We start from the raw sequence: 22,746 nt of genomic DNA, 5'->3' as shown, positions 1-22,746 counted from the left end.
ACAGGACTGCAGTGTCCTAATACTGCATTCTTGCTGAGACAGCAGCATGATACAGACTCTCTTTAAGGAGGAGTACATCAGGAAACCCAAAGTCAGGGGACAGACAAAAACAAGGACACTGGAGGAATTTGAAGCTTCTGACACCTATAGCTACAGCAAACATTAAGCAAAGACCAATTCCTAGCCAGATTAACTCACATCCTCACACAAGAGACCTGTTCACCTCAGTTCTTATTATCTGATAAATTATGTCTGGCTTTCAACAAAAAATTGCCAGGCATGCCATAAGGCAAGGAAAAAACACAGTCTGAAGAGACAAAGCAAGCATCACCACCAGACTCAGTTATGACACAGGTGCTGGAATTCTCAGGAGATTTAAAATGACTAATTAGTAACCTAATGAAAAAGAGGACAACATTCAAGAACAGATGGGTAATATAGGCAGAGAGAGGTAAACCTAACACAGAGGTGTTTTTTTTTTTTAAAAAGCTAGAAATCACAAATAATGTAACAGAATGTCTTTTGTTAATGGGCTTATCAGCAGACACAGCTGAAGAAAGAATCAGTGAGCATATGGTAGGTCAATAGAACTTCCCAAACTGTAAAAATGAATAAAAAAGCAGGGCATCCTAGAACTGTAAGAAAATTTGACAGGTGTAACGTATACATAACTGGAATGCTAGAAACAGCAGAAAGAATGGGGCAAAATATGTGAAATGATAATATAAGTCTTGAAGTAAAAATGGCTAATAGATGAGATAATGGCCAAGAACATTTCAGAATTAATGACAGACACTAAGCCACAAATCTAGGAAACTCAGAGTCCACTGAGCAGAAAAAAATACTAAAAACTACACATAAGTATATCATTTGCAAATCACAGAAACCAAAGGCAAAGTGAAAATCTTAACAGAAGCCAGAGAAAGAAGCATCGTGACCTACTGAGGAATAAATAAAAGAAGTAAAATAGACTTCTTACCAGAAACCATGAAAGCAAGAAGAAAGTGGAATAAGATACTTAAAGTATCAAAATGTAAAAAAATAACCACTAACCTAAAGTTTAATATATAGCAAAATTATCTTATAAAAGTGAAAGAAAGACCTTCTTAGAGAAACAAAAAGTTGAAGAACTTCATTGCCAGCTGACTCATGTTAACAAAAGACAAATGAAATCTGCAAAAGCAATAGGAGAACTTTATTTTCTAAAAGAAGTCTGCAGATTGGGCAGATACAGCCTTAAGTGCAAAAGGAAAGTGCACTCTGAGGAGGAGTTCAGGGGTAAAAGATTAGAAAATATTATAAAGGCAAAAACTGTAAGATTGGAGGCAATGAGGTGCAGGGTCTGAATTGGATGACATTTAAGCAAGACATTACATGCTTCGCTTGTGCCTGGCTGGCTTCAGGTAGTCTATGGGTGGTTAGGTGAGGAATTTCTAGCTGCAGTCTATCTTGGTACCAATGACAGGAGCTGATTTGGCTTGATTGCAGAAAGGGAGGTCCTGTGATACCTTTTCAATATTTTATTAGTTTGTTCTCACACTACTATAAAGAAATAACTGACACTGGGTAACTTATAAAGAAACGAGATTTAATTGGCTCACGGTTCTGTAGGTTGTACAGGAAGCATGAGGCTGGCATCTGCTTGGCTTCTGAGGAGGTCTCAGGATATTTACAATTATGGTGGAAGGCCAAGGGGGAGCAGATACATCTTATATGGCAAGAGCAGGAACAGTAGAGCGATGGGGGAGGTGCCACACACTTTTAAACAACTGGATCTCATGAGAACTTACTGTCATAATGACAGTACCAAGGGGAATGGTGCTAAAACATTCATGGGAACTTCACCCCTATGATCCAATCACCTTCCACCAGGCCCCACCTCCAACACTGGGGATTATAATTCGACATGAGATATGGTGGGGAAACAGACCCAAACCATAGCAAATATTTTTTCAAGAATACAGTATGTGATTGCACCTTCACCCAGCCATGGTTGCCTGGTTCTGTTTTAACTTTGAGTACTCAGTTAGCCACGGGGAGTCCATTTTGTCTGTCAGTTGGGGACATAATTTAACACCTGCCCTACCAGAAATGTTGAAAGATTTTCTTGAGGCAGAAAAATGGTGTTGATCATAAGATGTATCTACATTAAAAAATAAGTAAAAGGGAGAATATTTAAAAAGAAGTAAATCAAACCACAAAATATGAAGAAGAAATCAAACCACGGAATAACTATTGTGTGAAAATAACGTGTCTGATGGTTACAAAATAAATTTAACCTAGTAATTACAAAAGCAATAGCAGATTTTGGAATCAGGGTTATTTTCTATAGGATTGAGTGATCATGAATATGTAAAGAGCTTAACACAGTGCCTATACTTGTTTATAATGCAACAGAATTTTGTAGAATTTTCTTTCTTTTTTTTTTTTGGCACTGAACTAAGCCATATCTACTTGGATCTCATTTTTATTATATTATTATACTTTAAGTTCTGGGGTAGTGGTGCAGAATGTGCAAGTTTTTTACACAGGTATACACATGCCATGGTGGTTTGCTGCACCCATCAACGTGTCATCTATATTAGGTATTTCTCCTAATGCTATCCCTCCCTGTGATATTCCCCTCACTGTATCCACGTGTTCTCATTGTTCAACTCCCACTTATGAGTGAGAACATGCGGTGTTTGGTTTTCTGTTCTTATGTTAGTTTGCTGAGAATGATGGTTTCCAGCTTCATCCATGTCCCTGCAAAGGACATGAACTCATCCTTTTTTATGGCTCCATAGTATTCCATGGTGTATATGTGCCACACTTTCTTTATCCAGCCTATCATTGGTGGGCATTTGGGTTGGTTCCAAGTCTTTGCTATTGTGAACAGTGCCACAATAAACATATGTGTGCATGTGTCTTTATAGCAGCATGATTTATAATCCTTTGGGTATATACCCAGTAATGGGATTCCTGGATCAAATGGTATTTCTAGTTCTAGATCCTTGAGGAATCGCCACACTGTCTGCTACAGTGGTTGAACTAATTTACATTCCCACCAACAGTGTAAAAGTGTTCCTATTTCTCCACATCCTCTCCAGCATCTGTTGTTTCCTGACTTTTTAATGATTGCCATTCTAACTGGCGTGAGATGGTATCACATTGTGGTTTTGATTTGCATTTCTCTAATGACTAGTGATTATGAGCTTTTTTTCATATGTTTGTTGGCCACTTAAATGTCTTCTTTTGAGAAGTGTCTTTTCATATCCTTTGCCCAATTTATGATGAGGTTGTTTGTTTTTTTCTTATCAATTTAAGTTCTTTGTAGTTCTGGATATTAGCCCTTTGTCAGATGGATAGACTGCAAAAATTTTCTCCCATTCTGTAGGTTGCCTTTTCACTCTGATAATAGTTTCTTTTGCTGTGCAGAAGCTCTTTAGTTTAATTAGATCCCATTTGTCAATTTTGGCTTTTGTTGCCATTGCTTTTGGTGTTTCAGTCATGAAGTCTTTGCCCATGCCTGTGTCCTGAATGGTATTGCCTAGGTTTTCTTCTAGGGTTTTTATGGTTTTAGGTCTTACATTTAAGTCTTTAAGCCATCTTGAGTTAATTTTTGTATAAGGTGTAAGGAAGGGATCCAGTTTCAGCTTTCTGCATATGGTTAGCCAGTGTTCCCCACATCATTTATTAAATAGGAAATCCTTTCCCCATTGCTTGTTTTTGTCAGATTTGTCAAAGATCAGATGGTTGTAGGTGTGCGGTGTTATTTCTGAGGCCTCTGTTCTGTTCCATTGGTCTATATATCCGTTTTGTTACCAGTACCGTGCTGTTTTGGTTACTGTAGAGCAGTCTGAGGTTGACCTGGGACGCTCAAGCTTGGTGGGAGGAGGGGCCTCCACGATTGCTGAGGCTTGAGTAGGCAGTTTCACCCTCACAGTGTAAACATAGCCCCCAGGAAGTTCAAACTGGGCGGAGCCCACTGCAGCTCAGCAAGGCCACTCAAACTGCCTCTCTAGATTCCTCCTCTCTGGGCAGGGCATCTCTGAAAAAAAGGCAGCAGCCCCAGTTCGGGACTTATAGATAAAACCCCCATCTCCCTGGGACAGAGCACCTGGGGGAAGGGGCGGCTGTGGACACAGCTTCAGCAGCTCTGAAGAGAGCAGTGGTTCTCCCAGCATAGTGTTTGAGCTCTGATAAGGGACAGACTGCCTCCTCAAGTGGGTCCCTGACACTGCTCACCCCGCCCCCCGCCCCACCGTGTATCCTGACTGGGAGACACCTCCCAGTAGGGGCTGACAGACACCTCATACAGGAGAGCTCTGGCTGGCATATGGCTGGTGCCCCTCTGGGACAAAGCTTCCAGAGGAAGGAACAGGCAGCAGTCTTTGCTGTTCTGCACCCTCTGCTGGTGATACCCAGACAAACAGGGTCTGGAGTGGACCTCCAGCAAACTCCAGCAGACCTGCAGCAGAGGAGTCTGACTGTTAGAAGGAAAACTACCAAACAGAAAGGAATAGTGTCAACATCAATTTTCTAATTAAAAAAATCGTCAGTCTTCTTGAATCACACATTGCTCAGGTAAAATAAAGGAGATAAATATAGCAATGGTGCCAGATTTGAATTTTTTAAAAAAGATTTGGAGTAAAACCCAGGAATACTCTTTTTAACAAGAGAAAAACATTGTCCAAGATTTTTAATTGTCTTCAAATATGAACCCTATACATTTAGAAAAGGTATGTCCTCAACTGGTAATTGGCTACATCACATATTTTAAGAAATGGAGAAATGAAGGGGAAATAAAGGAAAAGTTAGCAGATTATATATTATAGGAGTCAACAATATAAGTAAAAAGGGAAAGGGCCTTGCATTACTTAAGCAAAAGTAAAAAGCAGGTAGCTATAATTCATGAGATTTAGTAGGTAATATGAAGAGTTTATTTTATACCCCCAATTGGCAATTTAAAATCTCTATAACTATATAAAGAAAGATAATTGTGTGCATGGGCTAAAGAATCTGAATGAACATAATTTCCTTTTCTGCTCTCAATTATAATACTAAACCTTTAAATGAAACTAAAATATTTAAATTAGCAGAAAAGAAATTTTAAAATGTAGTTTGAGATTCACTTACTCTTTTCCCCAGCCCACTCCTCTAAAAATATTACTTATAAGTAATAAATAAAATTTTACAATATGTTTTCATGGTTTTTGACAGCAACTTTCTCAGGATAGCTTGCCTTTTGACTAATAAAAACATAATCCTATATTCCCATAATCCCTTCCCTAATTGAATACCTACTTTATACAGAATGAATTGTTCAGGCTAAAGAATAATATCACTGACAGAGAGATCCTTATCTTCATGATCCAAGAAAGAAGAATTCTCTGAGGGCTTGTAAGCATGACAGCAGCTAAGAAAGATTACCAAAGCAATTAATAAGAAAGCAAAGCATTATACAGTGGAAATAAAAAGTAAAATATAAAAATAGAGGTCTTTAATAATAGACTATCTGGGAAGGCTTACTGCAAGAGATCAGTTTTGAACCAGACATTAAAAAATTATCACAGCCTTTTTCAAACACTTCTCAAAAATTATTTTAGGAAAAAGAATAGTTCAGTCACATTAATTTCAATCATTTTCTAAGCCTATCAAAAGCAAAGGATGAGATTTGTTCATGTGGGTGTAACATTTTATCTATGTCCATGCTATTAACACTAGCTAGTAACTAACTACAAAGCCAACCTCTAATATTTAAATCCAGATTTTAAAATCGTGTCCTATAAACCAGAGATAGATTTGAGTACTTTTTTGAGTGAAATTTTTATCCATACAACCAACTTTGAATATCTCGGCTGCCTGTATAAAATGAGATTTCAAAAACAAACCTAGGCAATTTTTATGGGAATGCATTAGACCTTAATTCAACTCTGTTTCATTTAAAACAGCAGTATAAAAGCTAGTTGATAAATTTTATCACATTACGCTGGGGGAATTTCAATAATGTAGTAAAATTGACATAAAATTTATCGGAGAAAAGAAACATGCACGTTCATCAGTTATAGGGAGACTACATGCAAGTACTGTTGTATGGTCTTTCACCAGGTAAATTATACGACTTAAGAACAAATATTTTAAATGAAAAATACATATATAGAGAAACAGATGCAAAAATTCAATTCATGGACATAGTAGAAGTACCAAACCTAAGGGTGGCTCTGAAGTATAAAGTATGTTATTTTGAATGGAAAGTTCTAAGAGATTTAACCAGAGATCCAAGAGCATACTGAATTAAGGGTGATAACTGGGATTAGAGTTAGAGGACAAGGAGGCAGGAACTAGTGCCAGAGCCATACAAATAAGATGTTGGTGTTAGTAGGGAGGCAAAGTCTTAAACTGCTAATTCATGTGTCAAACCAATGACGAGAAAATGCCAGCAGTAGATTTCAAGGTGGGTCGGGGTTATGACTCGGGAATCACGGTAAAAGGTTCACTAATGGAGGGCCGCTGTTACATTCTTCTCGCGATGGTTATATGGGGCAGGAGGGAGCCACACAGTTCAAACCATCTCTATGCAGGGGCCGTTTCTCATCATGGCTGCCTATCGTGAGACCAGAGTTTATTGCGATAGCAGTCCTCAGCAGGAAGTCTGTGAATACCGAACAGCGACAGTTATTTCTCCAGATGAAGGAAATATTAAAAATCATTTCTTCTTTTTAGAAGTAACCTTAAAATGAGGATGTTGAAAGAATGCTCAGGCAAATGAGTTATATTTCTTAAAAATCTGTAAAACCTTTTTCCAGCCTTTCTTTCTTTTTGTGGTTCATCCCTTATTCTTGATGATCTTTTTTTTTTTTTTTAATTTTCAAACTTCTCAGGAGTGAAAATATAGATGGCAATGCTGTGAAACAGAAGAAATTGTTCAATTTTTAGGACTTGGACTTGTTAACATGAAAATAGTAACACAACTTGCTTTTGTTGGGTAAAAGTCATGTGATATTCTGTTCATTGGGATATAAATTTACGTTTCTCCCTTATGAAATGGTAGAAATGTTAGTATTAATTTATTTAAGCAGGTATGCCTTGAAAAAATGGTGCTAGGCTACTGCATCAATTTGTATGAAAAGGACAAATAATTGGCCAGTACAGTATATGCTGTTTCTCTTTCCTGTTCCAGACTTACCATAACATGCTGAAATATGAAACAATAAGGAAAAGGGCAGAAGGAAGGGTAGAATATATGACCTGCATACATCATAAAACATATCCTTAAAGTAGCAATTTTGCCTGAGAAGAATATGTTAAAATGCAAGTCAACGACATAGAGTATATTTTCCCCTCTCACTCCCTCCTCAAAGGCTGAGATGCCATCATTCAATTCTCACTGTACATTTCTTAGAACTTTTGAACCTGAGTGATCCCGATTTCTACTCTGGACTTCAGGTTTATGAGTTAGCAGAAAGACAACCCCTCTAGCAACAGTTCCAAAGGATATAATTACAAATATAGCATAAGACCCTCAGCTTTCAAGACTTTTAACATTGTTGTTGTTTTTAGAAAGTAATTGGTTTTGCTTTTGCTTTTTATCCCCCTCCCAATGCTCAATGCAATCTACACTGCCTGGAAACCAGACTTTAAATGAAGCAGATGCTCCAAGTTAAACTCTGAGCTGATAGTAAAGTTGTTTCCTAGCAACACAAAGTTATGAAAACTTCAAGAGTGCCACTTGCTCAGTACAGTTTCTCTCATTTAGTTTCATGCACTCAGTGGGTTATTATAACCTACTGAGTACCAAATCAAAATGAACTTGATCCTACATTAAAAGGAATGAAAAACCACTCCATTGATTTTGAACTAATGACCTTTTCAAACCTCGGGCATACAAAATCAAACTTTATACTATAGTTTAAAAGAGTATTTTTCAAAATGAAATTATAGAATGGTGATAAGCTTAGGCCATAAATCTACCCAAACAGATACAATTTTTTGAGATGGAGTCTCGCTGTCGCCCAGGTTGGAGTGCAGTGGCGCGATCTCGGTTCACTGCAGGCTCTGCCCCCCGGGGTTCACGCCATTCTCCTGCCTCAGCCTCTCGAGTAGCTGGGACTACAGGCGCCGGCCACCTTGCCTGGCTAATTTTTTGTATTTTTAATAGAAGACGGGGTTTCACCGTGTTAGCCAGGATGGTCTCGATCTGCTGACCTCGTGATCCGCCCGCCTCGGCCTCCCAAAGTGTTGGGATTACAGGCGTGAGCCACCGCGCCCGGCCGCAGATACATTGTTTTAAAACACCTAGACTTTCTGAACATCTAGCTAACCTGACCTAGGCAGAGGAAATGGTGTGTAATCAAAATGCCTTATAGCAGTGGTTCTCAAATATTTTGGTCTCAGAACCCCTTTGGTTTCTTAAAAAGTATTAGACTATCATCAAAGTACTGCTATTTATATGAGTTATATATGTCAACATTTCATTAGAATTAAACCTAGAATTTTTTTGTCTTTAGTTGTTTATTTAAAAATAAACACACTATGTCTTAAAATAATTAACATATATTTTAGAAAGAGTTTTATTTTCAAAAATGAAAATAGTTTAGTGAGATGAGTGGCAATGTTTTACAGTTTTACAAGTCTCTTTTAATGTCTGGTTGAATAGAAGACAGCTTGATTCTTAAATTTTTTTTTTCGGCCTTTAATTGGTTGTGATATCACACATCACATAGCCTCTAGAAAATTCTACTGTGTTATCTTGAGAAAATGAGAGAAAAAAGGCAATTTTTCCTCTTCCTCTTTCACTTTCTCTTCTGAAATTAATTTGGACCACATTTTGAGAACTGTTGGCAGTAAGCATGTTTCTTCAGTGTGTAACAGGATTTAAATGATTTCCTTTCTCATAGTCATTAACGTTAGGCAGTATGGTAAAGTGATTTCGTCTCTGACACTTAAAAGTTAGCTTGCCTGAGTTTGATTCTATTATGACAGCTTCTAACTCTATAACCTTGAGTAAGTCACTCTAAGTCTCACTTGTGTCATTTATAAAATGGGGCTAATAGTAACACTAGCCCCACAGTACTATAATAGAACTAGGTAGGAAATAGACAACACAGCAGATTTTTTTCTCGTAAAAGTAACCACCCATGATTATTGACTGTATCTCTGATTTTAAGACTGTTCAAGACTATTGATTAAGACAAAAACAAATATCTCAATAAAACACTCGAATAACCACCACTTCCACTCTACCTCATTCTTAAAAAGAGGAAATAATGTGAACTTGTGATTACCAGAGGCTAATATGCATTTTTGTATTGAGAGTTCAAGTTTGATTTACTTCTTAATATCAAGGAAGAAGTACCTGATATGATGTTTGAATTCATTCGTATTTGCTTCTTTCCTAATAAAATATCTTTTAATATCATCTGGTAGAGAGACGAATGAAGATGTGTGACTTTGCTTAAAGAAATAGTGAAAGTGAGTATTAATGCAATTTGAAACTAGCACAGAAGTATGCATTTAGTTTTGGTGAATGATTTCTGTTTGGTAGATTTATACTTGCTTCACCCTTTATTCTGGTTCATATAATGGCCAAAAATAAACAATTATTATGGGCTTGAATCATACACTCACACTGGGTAAATTCCAACCACGTCATCACCTGTATATTCTTTTACAGCCACTGCAGGACTGATCACATTTGCAACATGAATATTATCTTTGATTCCATAATTTCAACACACTCAGTACTCACAGCAATTTATAGCTAGATGTGTAGTAAACACTTTTTCGTTTTACCTTGGGAACTAGCTTAAGAGAGTAAATGAACCGAGATTGCACGAGGTCTTGCAACGAGCCGATAGGGTAATCCTGAACTCTACAATAAATGTCACTTCCCTCAAAGGAGAATAAATAGATGTTCTTGAAAATAGAATCTTTAAAACAGAGCCTTATATGTTTTTGGACTTTCAACATTGGTAAAATATAAAATGATATTCAAAAATGAGTTTAAAAATTTAGCAACAATCATAGTCCATTCATATTAGGCATTTAAAAAATGTGCTACGGCTTGTTATACCAAATCAGTTTTGATAGCCTTTGTTAGATAAATTAGTGGTTAGTGGGAAGTTTGAGAGCTGGGAGATTTAGTGTATTTGGGAGTAATATAAAGAAGTCTTAGGATATCTGGGTACTGTGTTTGAGTGGTAATAGTTTAATTTTCTGCCCCACTATGATGACTTTTTTATGACATTGAAGTGAAGAAGCAGAAAAACAAAAGATCATTGGGCATCATCTCACCTGTCTTTTTCCTGAGGGAAATGAGTTGAAATAGGGTGTTTTCTTTAGCAAAGAATATTAGATTTAGCAGGCCTGTGTTCAAATTCTAGTACCCAGCTTACAGAACAAGTGTTCTAAAATGCATTTCTGAACTTCTCTCAACTTCATATTCCTATGTAATGAGATGACAAGCACAACTACTCTGTAGTCCAATTTCAAGAATTGAAGGGGTTAACATATGTAATAGACTCACCTAGTTCTCAAAAGAAATAATTCCTTCCCACTTTCCCTTCCTTGCTTTTATTTTTTTTCACTTTCTTTACTGCAGATTATATCTTTTACCTATTCTTGGTGTCTGTCCTTTACTACAGATACCAGTAGCAGTCATATTTCAGCACCCACTTTCTTTTGCATTTAAAAAATAAAATGCTGAAGCTGAAACTTGTTGAATTAAGCTATAATTTTATTAGTACGTGTGTGTACGTTTGTGTGTGTGTGTGTGTGTGTGTGTGTTTTAAACCCCTTGCTGAACTGTTTTGGTTAAGTTAAAGTAAGTGCAAAATGTTTTCAAATTCAACAATAGAATTATTACCATTTGAGGAATAAGGTATTATCCCAAGATGACATATCCAAGACCTCAGATGAGAACACTGAGACATTACATTAGCTTCTTTAAGGTCACAAAGCTAAGTGTCAAAGTGAGATTCAAAATGAATTCATTTGGTTTCAGTCTGGGCAATTAACCATGCTTTTGGTTAGATATAAGCGTATTTTGCTTGTGCTTTAATAGCTGTCTCCGAAAGATCAGAAAAACTAAAACATATTTGACATGCTCTTCATTTTACTGTGGGGAATATGTGATAAAGAACTGGTCTCAGTTTAATAAAGGTCATACAATAAACCACTTTTTGGGACATGTACTAATGTCTCATAGGTATAACTGTGCTATAGTAAGATTTGAGTTTTCACTCACAGGACTAATCATCCCTGATGTCAACCCATCCTAGGAAGAACTGCAGAATCAGGGACTCATATCAGGAACTTGAAAGACGTGCCATGGACTAAGCCCACAAAGGAAGGCCTTCTCTCTGGGCTTTTCTCGCTGTGATTTCCTTTTTTTGGAACTTGGCCCGTAACTCTCTAGATGTGGTGGAAACATGCCACAGCCTATTGGAATCAGGCTAAAAGCTCTGAAGAAATGGAACTGAAGCAGAATATTTTCCCAACCCCTTCGTGGGATTCGTGACAGGTGTGCCTGATTTACCCAGCTTGCAGTTTTCAATTCCTAGTAAGAGGGAGCATGCAAGCACATAAGGCGGGAACTGGAGTGCACCAACCCTGGAACCAGCTGGCTGCTTCAGCACTGGCAGGAGTGAACTCCACTCACTTAGACCTGCAGCAGTCCACTCCTTGTGGGATGGAGTGCATGGTTGAGCACGTGCAGGAGTCAGGGTGAGTGCTTTTGGGTGCTGGCAGGAGCAAACTCTGTGCAGGCCTCATGGCAGAATCTGGGGAGATGCCTGCGACCCCTGAAGCCTCAGAGGGAGAATGTTACAGTGCTATTTTAGCTCTGCCATCTGCAGATGGCTTAAGTGTTAACAGCTCAGTGGGCCTTCTGACTTTTCACATGAGGCAGCTGCCCCTCTGCCAGTGAGAGTGAAAGGCCAGTATGACAGCCTTTAGTGTTCGCACTCATGGCACCCAAACTCTTGTCTGGCATCCAGGAGAAATAAGGTTGCACAAATAAATTAAAAGATGATAAATGTGGGGGGATTTTATTGCCAATGAAAGTGGCTTTTAGTGGAAGAGGAGCTGAAAAAGGGATAGGGTAGGAAGGTAATCTTCCCCTGAAGTCTGGCCATCTCCAGCTGGATTCTTCTCCAAAGTTAGCCATCAAGCGTTCCTCTAAAGTCAAGCTGGTTCTCTCCAATGTTGAGCCATTGTCTGATGTCCAGCTTTCTCCTCTTTGCTTGCTGGAGTCTTTATGGGCACAGGATGGGGGTTGGGGCAGGCCACAGGTGGTTTTTGAAAAGGCAGCATTCAAGTGGGAAAACAAAGATGTAAATTCTCACTTTGGGCCACCGTCTTAGGCTTTTCAGCTTGAGAGTGGGGCTTCACCAGGGACCCACCCCTGTCTGCCTAGAATTTCTCTGCCTCCTCTCCCCATCAAAACCTGGAGTTATCAGGCAGGCATACTTCAGAAAACTTCACAAAGATATTTTATAGTTTGTGAGTTTTGAGAGCAGATTTGGAGATAAAAATGAGGCGTAAGTTTTTCTCTGTGTTGTAATACCCTTCCTTTATACAAAGTAAGCATCCTCAATTATAAGTTAATCATAGCCCACACCTTAACATATCGTGAGTACAAGCAATATTAGAGGGAAATTTAAACTAAGAGTCTACACATTCAAGGAATCTGGAAAATTTAAGTACATGAGCAAGTTAGGAGGATGAATAGAATGCAAATATTATTATCAAGAGGCAAGAAAGAGTTCCACTTTGGGCCATGATGAACTAAGAAAGACTGGATTTGTATTTCCAACTCAGATAACTAGAAAACTGAACAAAATATAACAAAATACAGTTTTGAGGCATTAAGCCATGCAGGATTATGATACCTGAGAGAATGATAATATTCCCCAGAAACTGCCTAGGGAAAAGATTTTCAACCTTGCACACTGTTGACATTTTGGGCTGGATAATTCTTTGTTGTAGGGAGCTGTCCTGTACATTGTAGAAAGTTTAGCACCATCCTTAGCTTTGGTGCTAATGTAGTAGCACTACCCTAGTTGTAACAACCTAAATTGTTATCAGACATTCCAAATGTCTACTATGGAACAAAATCATTTCAGTTTGAAAACCATTGGCCTAGAAGTAGTCCCTGTGCTGCGGCATAAAGAAGGAAAATCCAAGCAGAACCAAGCCATCATGCAGATTTAGGAAGACAGAGATTAAAGGTTAAAGAGGTCTGAGTGGCTAGAATTTATAAAACAGACTACCAGTGAAAGGGGAGCTGAGAGAGAGAGAAAGAAAGAGCAAGCTTTAGAATCTACCTAGGGACACCCTCAATCTAATCTGCACCTATGTGAGAGGAAACCACATGAGCAGAGAAAGAACCACTGGAAATTAGAAAGTGCAACAATTCACAGAGTCTACACACAGCTGGGAATAGCAATTCCTCCCATCAGCCAGAGTTGAAGACTTTTAAGACATGGAGAAATCTCAGAAGGGTGACACCTTAGTAGAAGATCTAAATTAGCCCTCAGTTAAAAGTTGGTCAAGACACACTCCAAAAAACTTAAAAGCAAGCATTTAACTGTTTCCAAGAACTTATTTCTTCACCAGAACAAGTTACAACACAATTTAAAGAAATACGTCAAAATCCAGCATTCAACAACATAATATTCACAATGTTAGTTATCTAATCAATGAAGCTGGAAAATCTGCCTCATAATCATGAGAAAATATAATCAATAGTGACATTCATAAATAAGAGAGATGACAGAATTGGCAGTGAAGGACATTAATAAATATGAAAAGAATTATAAATATGTGCCTTATGCTTATATGTGCCCAATTAAAAAATATGTGACAATGATAAAGAGAGAAATAAGAAATATAAAGCATTACCAAATAAAAATCTATAAAGAAAAAACTAAATTAAAAGTACACTGTAGAGAATTAACAGCAGATTAGACATTGCAGAAGAATAGATCAGTAAAAATGAAGTCATCGGAAGGAAATGAGAACAGAGATCTAAAAAAACACAAGCAAAAAAAAGAAGACAGGAAAATAAAAAGAGCTACAGTGATAATTGTATTCTAACAAGCGTAATTAGATCCAGAAGGAGGAAGGCGGAAGGCTACGGATGGGAGTGGAAGGAAAGGGTAGTATCTGGAATAAGAATAGAGAATTTTAAATATGATGAAAACTGTAAAGCAACACATCCAAGAAGTTAAGCAAACCCCAATCAGAATAAACACACAAAAAACAACACTATGGCATATCAAAATCAAATTGGTAAAACCAGTAATGCAGAGAAAAATCTTAAAAGCTGCTAGAGAGGGAAGAAAAAATGACCTATTATGTACAAAGGAACAAACATATAAGTGACAAAGCATTCTTGGCAAAATGTATGCAAGCAAGAAGAATATATAGTAATATCTTTAAAGTACTGTGAGGAAAAAAATCCAAAACTGTCAATCTGGTTGTTCTCTGCTTGGCAAAAGATTTTTCAAAAATGAAGTGAAAGAAAAATTATTTAGACAAATAACAATTGAGATATTTCATCACTCGCAGATTGGAACTACAAAAAATATTAAAGAATGTTCTTCAGGCAGAGAACAAATAATATAAGATAGAAATTTAGAAAGATGAATGGCAAATGCCATTCAATTATAATCATAGAATGTAGAAGTCTTTTATTCTCATATATAAATCTCTTTTAAAACAATTCTGTGAACAAAATAATACAAATGTGTATATTATATCATAGAAATAAAAATAACAACATCAGTAGCACATGAGGAGAGAAACAGATGTAGAATCTTACCTTCTTTCAAGATACATAAAAAGTAGCATTATATTTGAAAATAAACTGTGATAAGTTAAAGATGTATATTGTGATCCCTGGAGGATCTACTGAAAATTTAAACTAAGAGATGAGGAAGTAGCCAATATTGAAGAGAAAGTGGAATTATAAAAAGTTTTCATTTAACTCAAAAGAAGACAGGAAAAAAGGAATGGAGAAAAATGGAACAAATATAAAACAAACTAGAAGTTGGCAGATTCAAAACCAACCATATTGTTAGTTATATTCGATCTAATTGGAATAATCTAAAAGCACAATCTATTGACAGAGATCAAGCTGACTAAAAAGATCTAACTATATGTGTTATATAAGAAATGAATTTTAAATATTAATATACCAATAGGCTAAAAGTAGAAGACTTTAAAAGATATTATGAAAACACTAAGCAAAGGAAGCTGAGTTGAATAAATTAATATCAGACAAAGTAGGTTTCAAGCTAGGAATATCACCAGCGAAAAGAGAAACATTTTATAATGATAGAGAGGTCAGTTCAACAGGAGGATATGCTTGAGGCCAGGAGTTTGAGACCAGCCTTGGCAACATAGTGAGACCTCTACTTGTGAGGCTGAAGTGAGAGGATGACTTGAGTCTGACAGGTCGAGGCTACAGTGAGCTCTGATTGTACTATTGCACTCCAGCCTGGGTGACAGAGCAAGACCTTGTCTCAAAAAAAAGAGAAAAGAAAAAAAAAAGGATATAAGGATATAACAGTGCTAAGTGTACAAGCACCTAATCAAAAAGCTTCAAAATGCATGGGGAAAAATACAATTGAAATGCAAAATTTACAAATATACAAATATGATCGAGATAGTTAAAACTTTTTTCTTAGCTGACTAAATGAGTAGTCAAAAGAATAGAAAACATTTATCAACTTAATTTTCTCATGAACCAAAAAAATTAACAAAATAATAGCAAATTAAATCTAGAAATATAGAAACAGTATAAAACACCATGAATGAGTATAGTTACTATTTGAAAATCAATGTATTTCATATTAACAGACAAAAAAAAACCCATATGATTACCCCAATACATTCAGAATGCAGGAGAAACATTTTGCAAAACTAAAAAAAAAAAACAACAACAACAACAAAAAAAAGAAAACCCAAAAACAGCTAAAACCTTTCAGCAAACTAGGACTGGAGACAACTCTCTCAATATAATAAAGTATGTAGTTGAAAAAAACCCTACATCACACTCAATGACAAAAGGTTGTAGTTAATTCTCAAGTTTAAGGCAAAGATACTGCTCTCATTACCTATGTGCATTATTTTAATATAGTCCTAGACAGTTTAATAAGGAAAAAAAGAAGGAAAGGAAGGAAGAAAGAAAGAATGTCAAAGGATAATTACCATTAGAAATGGCAGGTCAGGGACTCCAAAAATCTGCCCCTCTGTAAAATCAATAAAAATTTTGGCAAAAATTGCCAATATCAACTTTTTCAGAACTTTGAAAATTAAATAAAGCATGCAACAATCGGAGAAGTATTTATTCAAGAAAAATGACTGTCTCAGTAAGAGTTACGAACTTTGTGGTGTTTAAACTCATTGAAGTCACACTCCCCTCTCCCAGGTATGTGGTAACCCTAAAAGCCCAAAACTTACTATCACAGTATTCGTGAAGAATAGTAGCTTACCAGGTACTCACTGGTGGAGAGAGAATGGGCTTGGAACTCATGTTAAACCTTATTCACAGAAAATTGACATTATCTGACCCCTCTCCAGTTATCTGAAAACCTTCTCTCACAGGCCTTGTATGTATTTGACCTTAGTCAGAGCTGACTTGGTTTGGATCATTCAGAAAATAATTTTTATGGACATTAGTTAACTTTAAAAAGTTTAATAATATGGCAGCTTACAAGAGGTGTTGATAACAGTTGGAGCAAACAAGAAGCTGACTAAAGCTGGGGAAGGAAATGTCCAAAGAAAACTTTGAAAAGCCCTAACATGTTACTGAAAAGCCAGAAGACCAAGCGTCTACAGGGTTGTGTGGATGACCAGGAAAGACCTGAAAGAGGCCAAAGTCCTTCCTTCCAATTGATGTTGCAATTCTGTAAAATCAGGAAAGGAAGATTAAGGCAGAGTTTTAATCTGCCTGTTTATGCTTGAAAATCATGAGGATAAAAATAATTTTAGCAGTATACCATGTTATGGATCTGAATACTTAATATATTTTGTATGTCAATTTTACTCTAAGTGATCTATAAATCTAACACGACTCCAATCAACACTCTAGCCATCTTTGCTGATAAAACTGATAACCTGTCTTTAAAATTTATAGGCAAAAGATTTACAATACATGACACAATTTTATGTTTCATAATCTTTGCTATTTTCAGACTCCCTTTATTTATTGCCACATAAACTTCAAGGTTATTTTAAACAATTAAAAAAACTGACCCTGATTAGCAATCTCATGTAAAATCTCATTTAAATTTATATATTAATTTTAAGAGCACTTTCTTTCCTCATCAAAACATTTATTCAGATATTGTTTTAAGTACACCTAATGATTTCTGTTAATTCATAAACGTCATTCAATTTTTAAATTAATTTATATGTATTGCCTAATTTTCCCCTTATTAAAATGAAATGTTTTTGTATTTCCAATTATACCTAAAATGATGTCTTTAGAAGAAACCAAGTCTCCTATGTTAGTGTTTCTTAGAATTAATGTAATAATATTGCTAGGCGTTTATTTGGTGTTAGTAATCTATAATTTGCATAATATTGGAAAGGGAGAAAATCTTTAGTTTCAGTATTAGGAATGACTTAATGAAATTGTTGAAAATATTGTACATGTCTTGTGATTTAAATAACTACCATCCCCAGGCTTGCTTAAACATAATTAAAATGATACTATGGTGTATCTGCCAGAAGTCTACTTTAAGGGATAAGGAGCCTCTTAGGAAATGACTCAGCCTGAAAGAAGAGAGAATGCTGGCACAGAAGCTTTTCTTTTTCATTTGTTTTAACAACAAAATGGAATAAAAATGAGTTCAGCCTGTGTAGATTTTATTCGGCTTATCCAAAAGTTCAACCACTGAAAAACTCTACCCTCATCTCTCCACTGAGTTCTATGATGAAAAGACAGAATAATAACAATAACAAAATATTTATAAATGTTAATTAAAAGATTATAATCTATTTTCCATGAGACAATGAAGTAGCAGTAATTTCAAAAATTTTGCAAATATAGAAAATTTTTCTAGTGGTGTTGAATGTAATGAGAGACAGTGATCTTGGTGTTGATGATAGCAACCTTGATGTCAGAGGGCTCCTCTTCCTAATAACAGTCCAACTCTTCTTCTTCCATCTCACACTGCCATTATCACTACTTTCACCAGCAATGTATTATTGTTATCAGATATTCATTACAGAGCTGAATCAGCTAATGAAATTTAGTTGGTTATTTGCAGTTATTACTGCTTTACTTTTTACTTTAAAATCTATTGATAGTAAGCAATTTTATTTCAGAAAACATTTTGAAAAATGTTTATAATGACTTATGTAAATACACTCATGATTTTCCTTCTTGTAATTCTTTTATTTTCCTAGTGAATTCCTCAACCATTTATACATTTATTATGAAATTTTGGGGGAGCCTAATAATTGAGTTTGGGACTTTCTCATTTATCTCTATTCCTTACTGTTAAGAAGGCAACAGCTGTGAATAAATGGCTTCTCATACTGATGTTTAATTTATAATTTATTTTCAATTTATTGGTAACATACAACTCAAGTCTCAGTTCCTTATAAAGGCAAAGGTTTATTTGTTGGTTGTATTCCATGTCCACCATAGTTTTGTTGGAGACTGTGCTTATTAGAGTCACTCAAGAGACCCAGTGACCTCATCTTGACACCTACCTCCATGATCAACCACAGTAAGTGGTAAGAGAATGTGTTCTCACACTGGCTCTTAGAACTTTGGCCTGAAAGTGACACATATTTCTACTGCTTACATTTTGTTAGCCAACTGTCTCCCAAACACATATAACTTCAGGTGTTGAGAAGGCACAATATTACTATGCCTAGAAGAACTGTAGTGTTTGTGGACAGCCTGAATGGCTACTATGTCATATCTCTGGCATATTCAACTATCCTCCAAAAAGTAAGTAAAAAATAATTTTTCAACTGTAAAAACATATGTAAAACTGTTCCTTAAAAGTACAAGTGCTCACTTCATGCCTATTTACACAATTTTTACAAATATTCTAATTTGGGGGCTATCTGATTATCAAATCAAATGTAAAACAAAAAAAAAAATCAAAAGTGAGATAAATGCCTAAGGAAACAATATAACAGAAGCAGAAATAACTAGATGAATAAAAAAAGAAATCTAACATAGTATAAATTAGCATACAAAAATTATTCATAATTCATTAGACTCTGAGTGTATCATTTGTTTTGATCATGTAGAGAAATGTGGACCTGACTCATCAAGAAGTGGTTAATTGATGAGTTTAGGAATTGAAATGGTCTGGCTGTTTCTCCACCCAAAATCTTGTCTTGAATTTAGTTCCCATAATTCCTATGTATCATGGGAGAGAACCAGTGGGAGGTGATAGAATCATGGGAGCAGTTGCCCCCATGCAGCTGCTCTCGTGGTTGTGACTGAGTTCTCACAAGATCTAATGGTTTTATAATGGGCTTTCCCCTTTTTCTTGGGAGTCCTTCATGTTTGCTTCCCCTTCTGCCATGATCGTAAGTTTCCTGAGGCCTCCCCAGTAAGGCTGAATGGTGAGTCAATTAGACCTCTTTTCTTTGTAAATTGCCCAGTCTCAGGTATGTCTCTATTAGCAGCATGACAGTAGACTAATTCAGTAAGTTGGTTCTGTAGAGGGTGGGGTGCTGCTGTAAAGACACCCAAAAATGTGGAAGCGACTTTGGAACTGGTTAACAGGCAGAGGCTGGAACAGTTTGGAGGGCTCAGAGGAAGACAGGAAAATGTGGGAAAATTTGGAACTTCCTAGAGTCTTAGAAGGCTTATAGAACAGGAAGATGTAGGAAAGTTTGGAACTTTCTGGAGACTTGTTGAATGGCTTTGAGCAAAATGCTGATAGTAATATGAACAATAAAGTTCAGGCTGAGGTGGTTTCAGATGGAGATGAGGAACTTTTTGGGAACAGGAGTAAAGGTTACTCTTGCTCTGCAAAGGGACTGAGGGCATTTTGTCCCTGCCCTAGAGATCTATGGAACTTTGAACTTGAGAAAGTGTATTTAGTCTATCTGGTGGAAGAAATTTCTAAGCGGCAAAGTTTTCAAGAGGACCATGGGGTCCTCATGGAAAACATCTGCTAGGGCAGTATGGAGGGGAAATGTGGGGTCAGAGCCCCCACACAGAATCCCCACTGGGGCACTGCCTAGTGGAGCTGTGAGAAGAGGGCCACCATCCTCTAGACCCCATAATGGTAGATACACTGACAGCTTGCACTGTGTGCCTGAAAAAGCCACAGACACTCAGCACCAGCCCTTGAAAGCAGCTGGGAGGGGGACTGTAGTACCCTGCAAAGCTACAGGGGAGGAGCTTCCTAAGGCCATGGGAGCGCACCTCTTTCTTTCATCAGCATGCCCTGGATGTGAGACATGGAGTCAAAGAAGGTCATTTGGAACTTTAAGGTTTAATGACTGCCCTATTGCATATCAGACTTGCAAGAAGCCTGTAGCCCCTTTGTTTTGACCCTATTGCATATCAGATTTGCGTGGGGCCTATAGCTCCTTTGCTTTGTCCAATTTCTCCCATTTGGAATGAGTGTATTTACCCAATGTCTATACCTCCATTTATCGAGGAAGTAACTAACTTGCTTTTGATTTTACAGGCTCATAGGTAGAAGGGACTTGCCTTGTCCCAGATGAGACTTTGGATTTGCACTTTTGAGTTAATGCTGGAATGAGTTAAGACTTCAGGGGACTGTTGGAAGCGCATGATTGTGTTTTGAAATGTGAGGACATGATGTTTGGGAGGGGCAAGGGGCAGAACGATATGGTTTGGCTGTGTCCTCACTCATAACTCATCTTGAATTGTGGTTCCTATAATCCCACATGTCATGAGACGGACATGGTGGGAGGTAATTGAATAATTGAGGGAGTTACCCTCATGCTGCTGTTCTCATGATAGTGACTGAGTTCTCACAAGATCTGATGGTTTTACAAGGGGCTTTTCTCCTTTGCTTGGCATTTCTTTTGGCTGCTGCCATGCGAAGAAGGATGTTTTTGCTCTGCCTTCCGCCATGATTGTAAGTTTCCTGTGGCCTCCAACCATGCTGAACTTGGTCAATTAAATCTCTTTCTTTTATAAATTACCCAGGCTCTGGTATGTCTTTATTAGCAGCATGAGAATGGAATACAGGAATACAGAAATGCACTTACTCTTGGAAAAACTCCTGAACAATAACATTTAGTTTCAGAAATTTCTGCCCTTGCACCACTCCCCAACCACATACATATATATGTAACTGATATCTAATAATCTGAGATTTCTTTACTAGATATGGTACAATATATTTATCTGAGATTTCTTTACTAAAAGAGTTCACTTCTAATAAGTTTAATAAGAAGTTGCTGTTTGTATGGTGATGTAATGCCTAAGAACCAAGTAGTACCACTGAATAATCCATTAATAATATAGTCATTAGTCATTATAAATAAGTCCTTCTTAGACATATTGACTCCTACAAATTTCCATGAAGAAAATGAACATTAATAAATATTCCTGGAGGGTTCCTGATAAGTTTTCTTTAGAAAATGTTTTACATAATCATAAAAGAGAAGAAAACAAATTTTCCTTTATTTCAGTGTATTTTAAAGATTTCATATACATACATTAACCACATCACAAAAAAGGATCTTGAAATGCTATCTTTTAATTTAAAATGTATTTTTATGTGACCAAAGAAAGACAAAAGAGGAAACACTTTTGATTTGGCATTTTAAGTATGTCAGTGAGAATGCTGCCTTCATAGAAGGTAAAATAAAAGGAATAACAGAGCAGAGATTTGTGCACCACTGCTCCTGTTCTGACTTCCAGAGAGACCATTCAGCCTTCAGCAAATGAAGAATAAGTTCACTGTTGAGTGGATTCACAAAGAATCTCAAAATTGTAAGATATATTTAGCTTCATGAGAAGGCTATGTTGAATTCCTTGTGATTTCAGAATTTCTTGGTAACAGGAAATCACAAGGGAGTATATTTAGGAAAGATGTCCTCAGGTTTGCACAAAGAGACTTTAGCAAACAAAACAGAAACATATGGACAGCATCCTCAGTGCCAAGTGTCATAGGGATTTTGCAGATCATCACTTTGTCACACACACACACACACACTCACACACACACGAAGTTCTCTCAGCATGAGACTTACTTTATTAAATGCTGGTAACTGTCTTGGTAAAAGAGAAACAAGAACCATAGATACTGTAAATTTGCAGAAGCATGATAAGCAAAGGAATAGTCAAATTGATGCATTCTTCATAATCATGTTTTTTGTACTTTCCACCATTAGTCAGTACTTTGATTATCCAAATTATCTAGAGATACTCATGCACGTATTTTCTGAGGGTTGAGAGAGAATTATATTGTTTTTGATTTACATAGGTCAGGCTAAGAAAAACTTAGTGTGATCAAAACCGACATTTCAGGGTAGACACACAACAGCAAATAATGTATTTGTATGCATAGTCTGTGTAGAATCTTCAAGGTGTGATAGCATTTTCTAATTTCAAAGCAACATCCTGAAAAATTCTACAAAAGAGAACTTCATAATTATTTTCAGGGGAATGATAAAAGACAGGCAAAGAAGTATAACTTTTTAAGAAATAAAAAATCATAATTTGTTTCATAAAACACGCACTTCATCTCCCAACATTGGGCTGAAGACAGTGGCTGGTAAAATTACAACTCCAAG

The 22,746-nt window shown here is 36.6% G+C and overlaps 1 long non-coding RNA gene across 1 annotated transcript in view; it reads right to left on the bottom strand.

The window, feature by feature from the left end:
- Nucleotides 1–5,946: 5,946 nt before the first annotated feature.
- The window catches only part of NRXN1-DT (NRXN1 divergent transcript), a 1,375,317-nt gene continuing 1,358,517 nt past the window's right edge, over nt 5,947–22,746 (bottom strand). The window contains exon 11 of the long non-coding RNA NR_135237.1: nt 5,947–6,886. This is a non-coding gene — a long non-coding RNA (NRXN1 divergent transcript). The remainder of the gene's footprint in view (nt 6,887–22,746) is intronic.

The sequence above is a fragment of the Homo sapiens genome, chromosome 2 (genome assembly GCF_000001405.40).
Source record: "Homo sapiens chromosome 2, GRCh38.p14 Primary Assembly".
In the NCBI taxonomy this organism is placed as follows: domain Eukaryota; kingdom Metazoa; phylum Chordata; class Mammalia; order Primates; family Hominidae; genus Homo; species Homo sapiens.
This window is presented reverse-complemented; position numbering and strand designations above follow the sequence as displayed.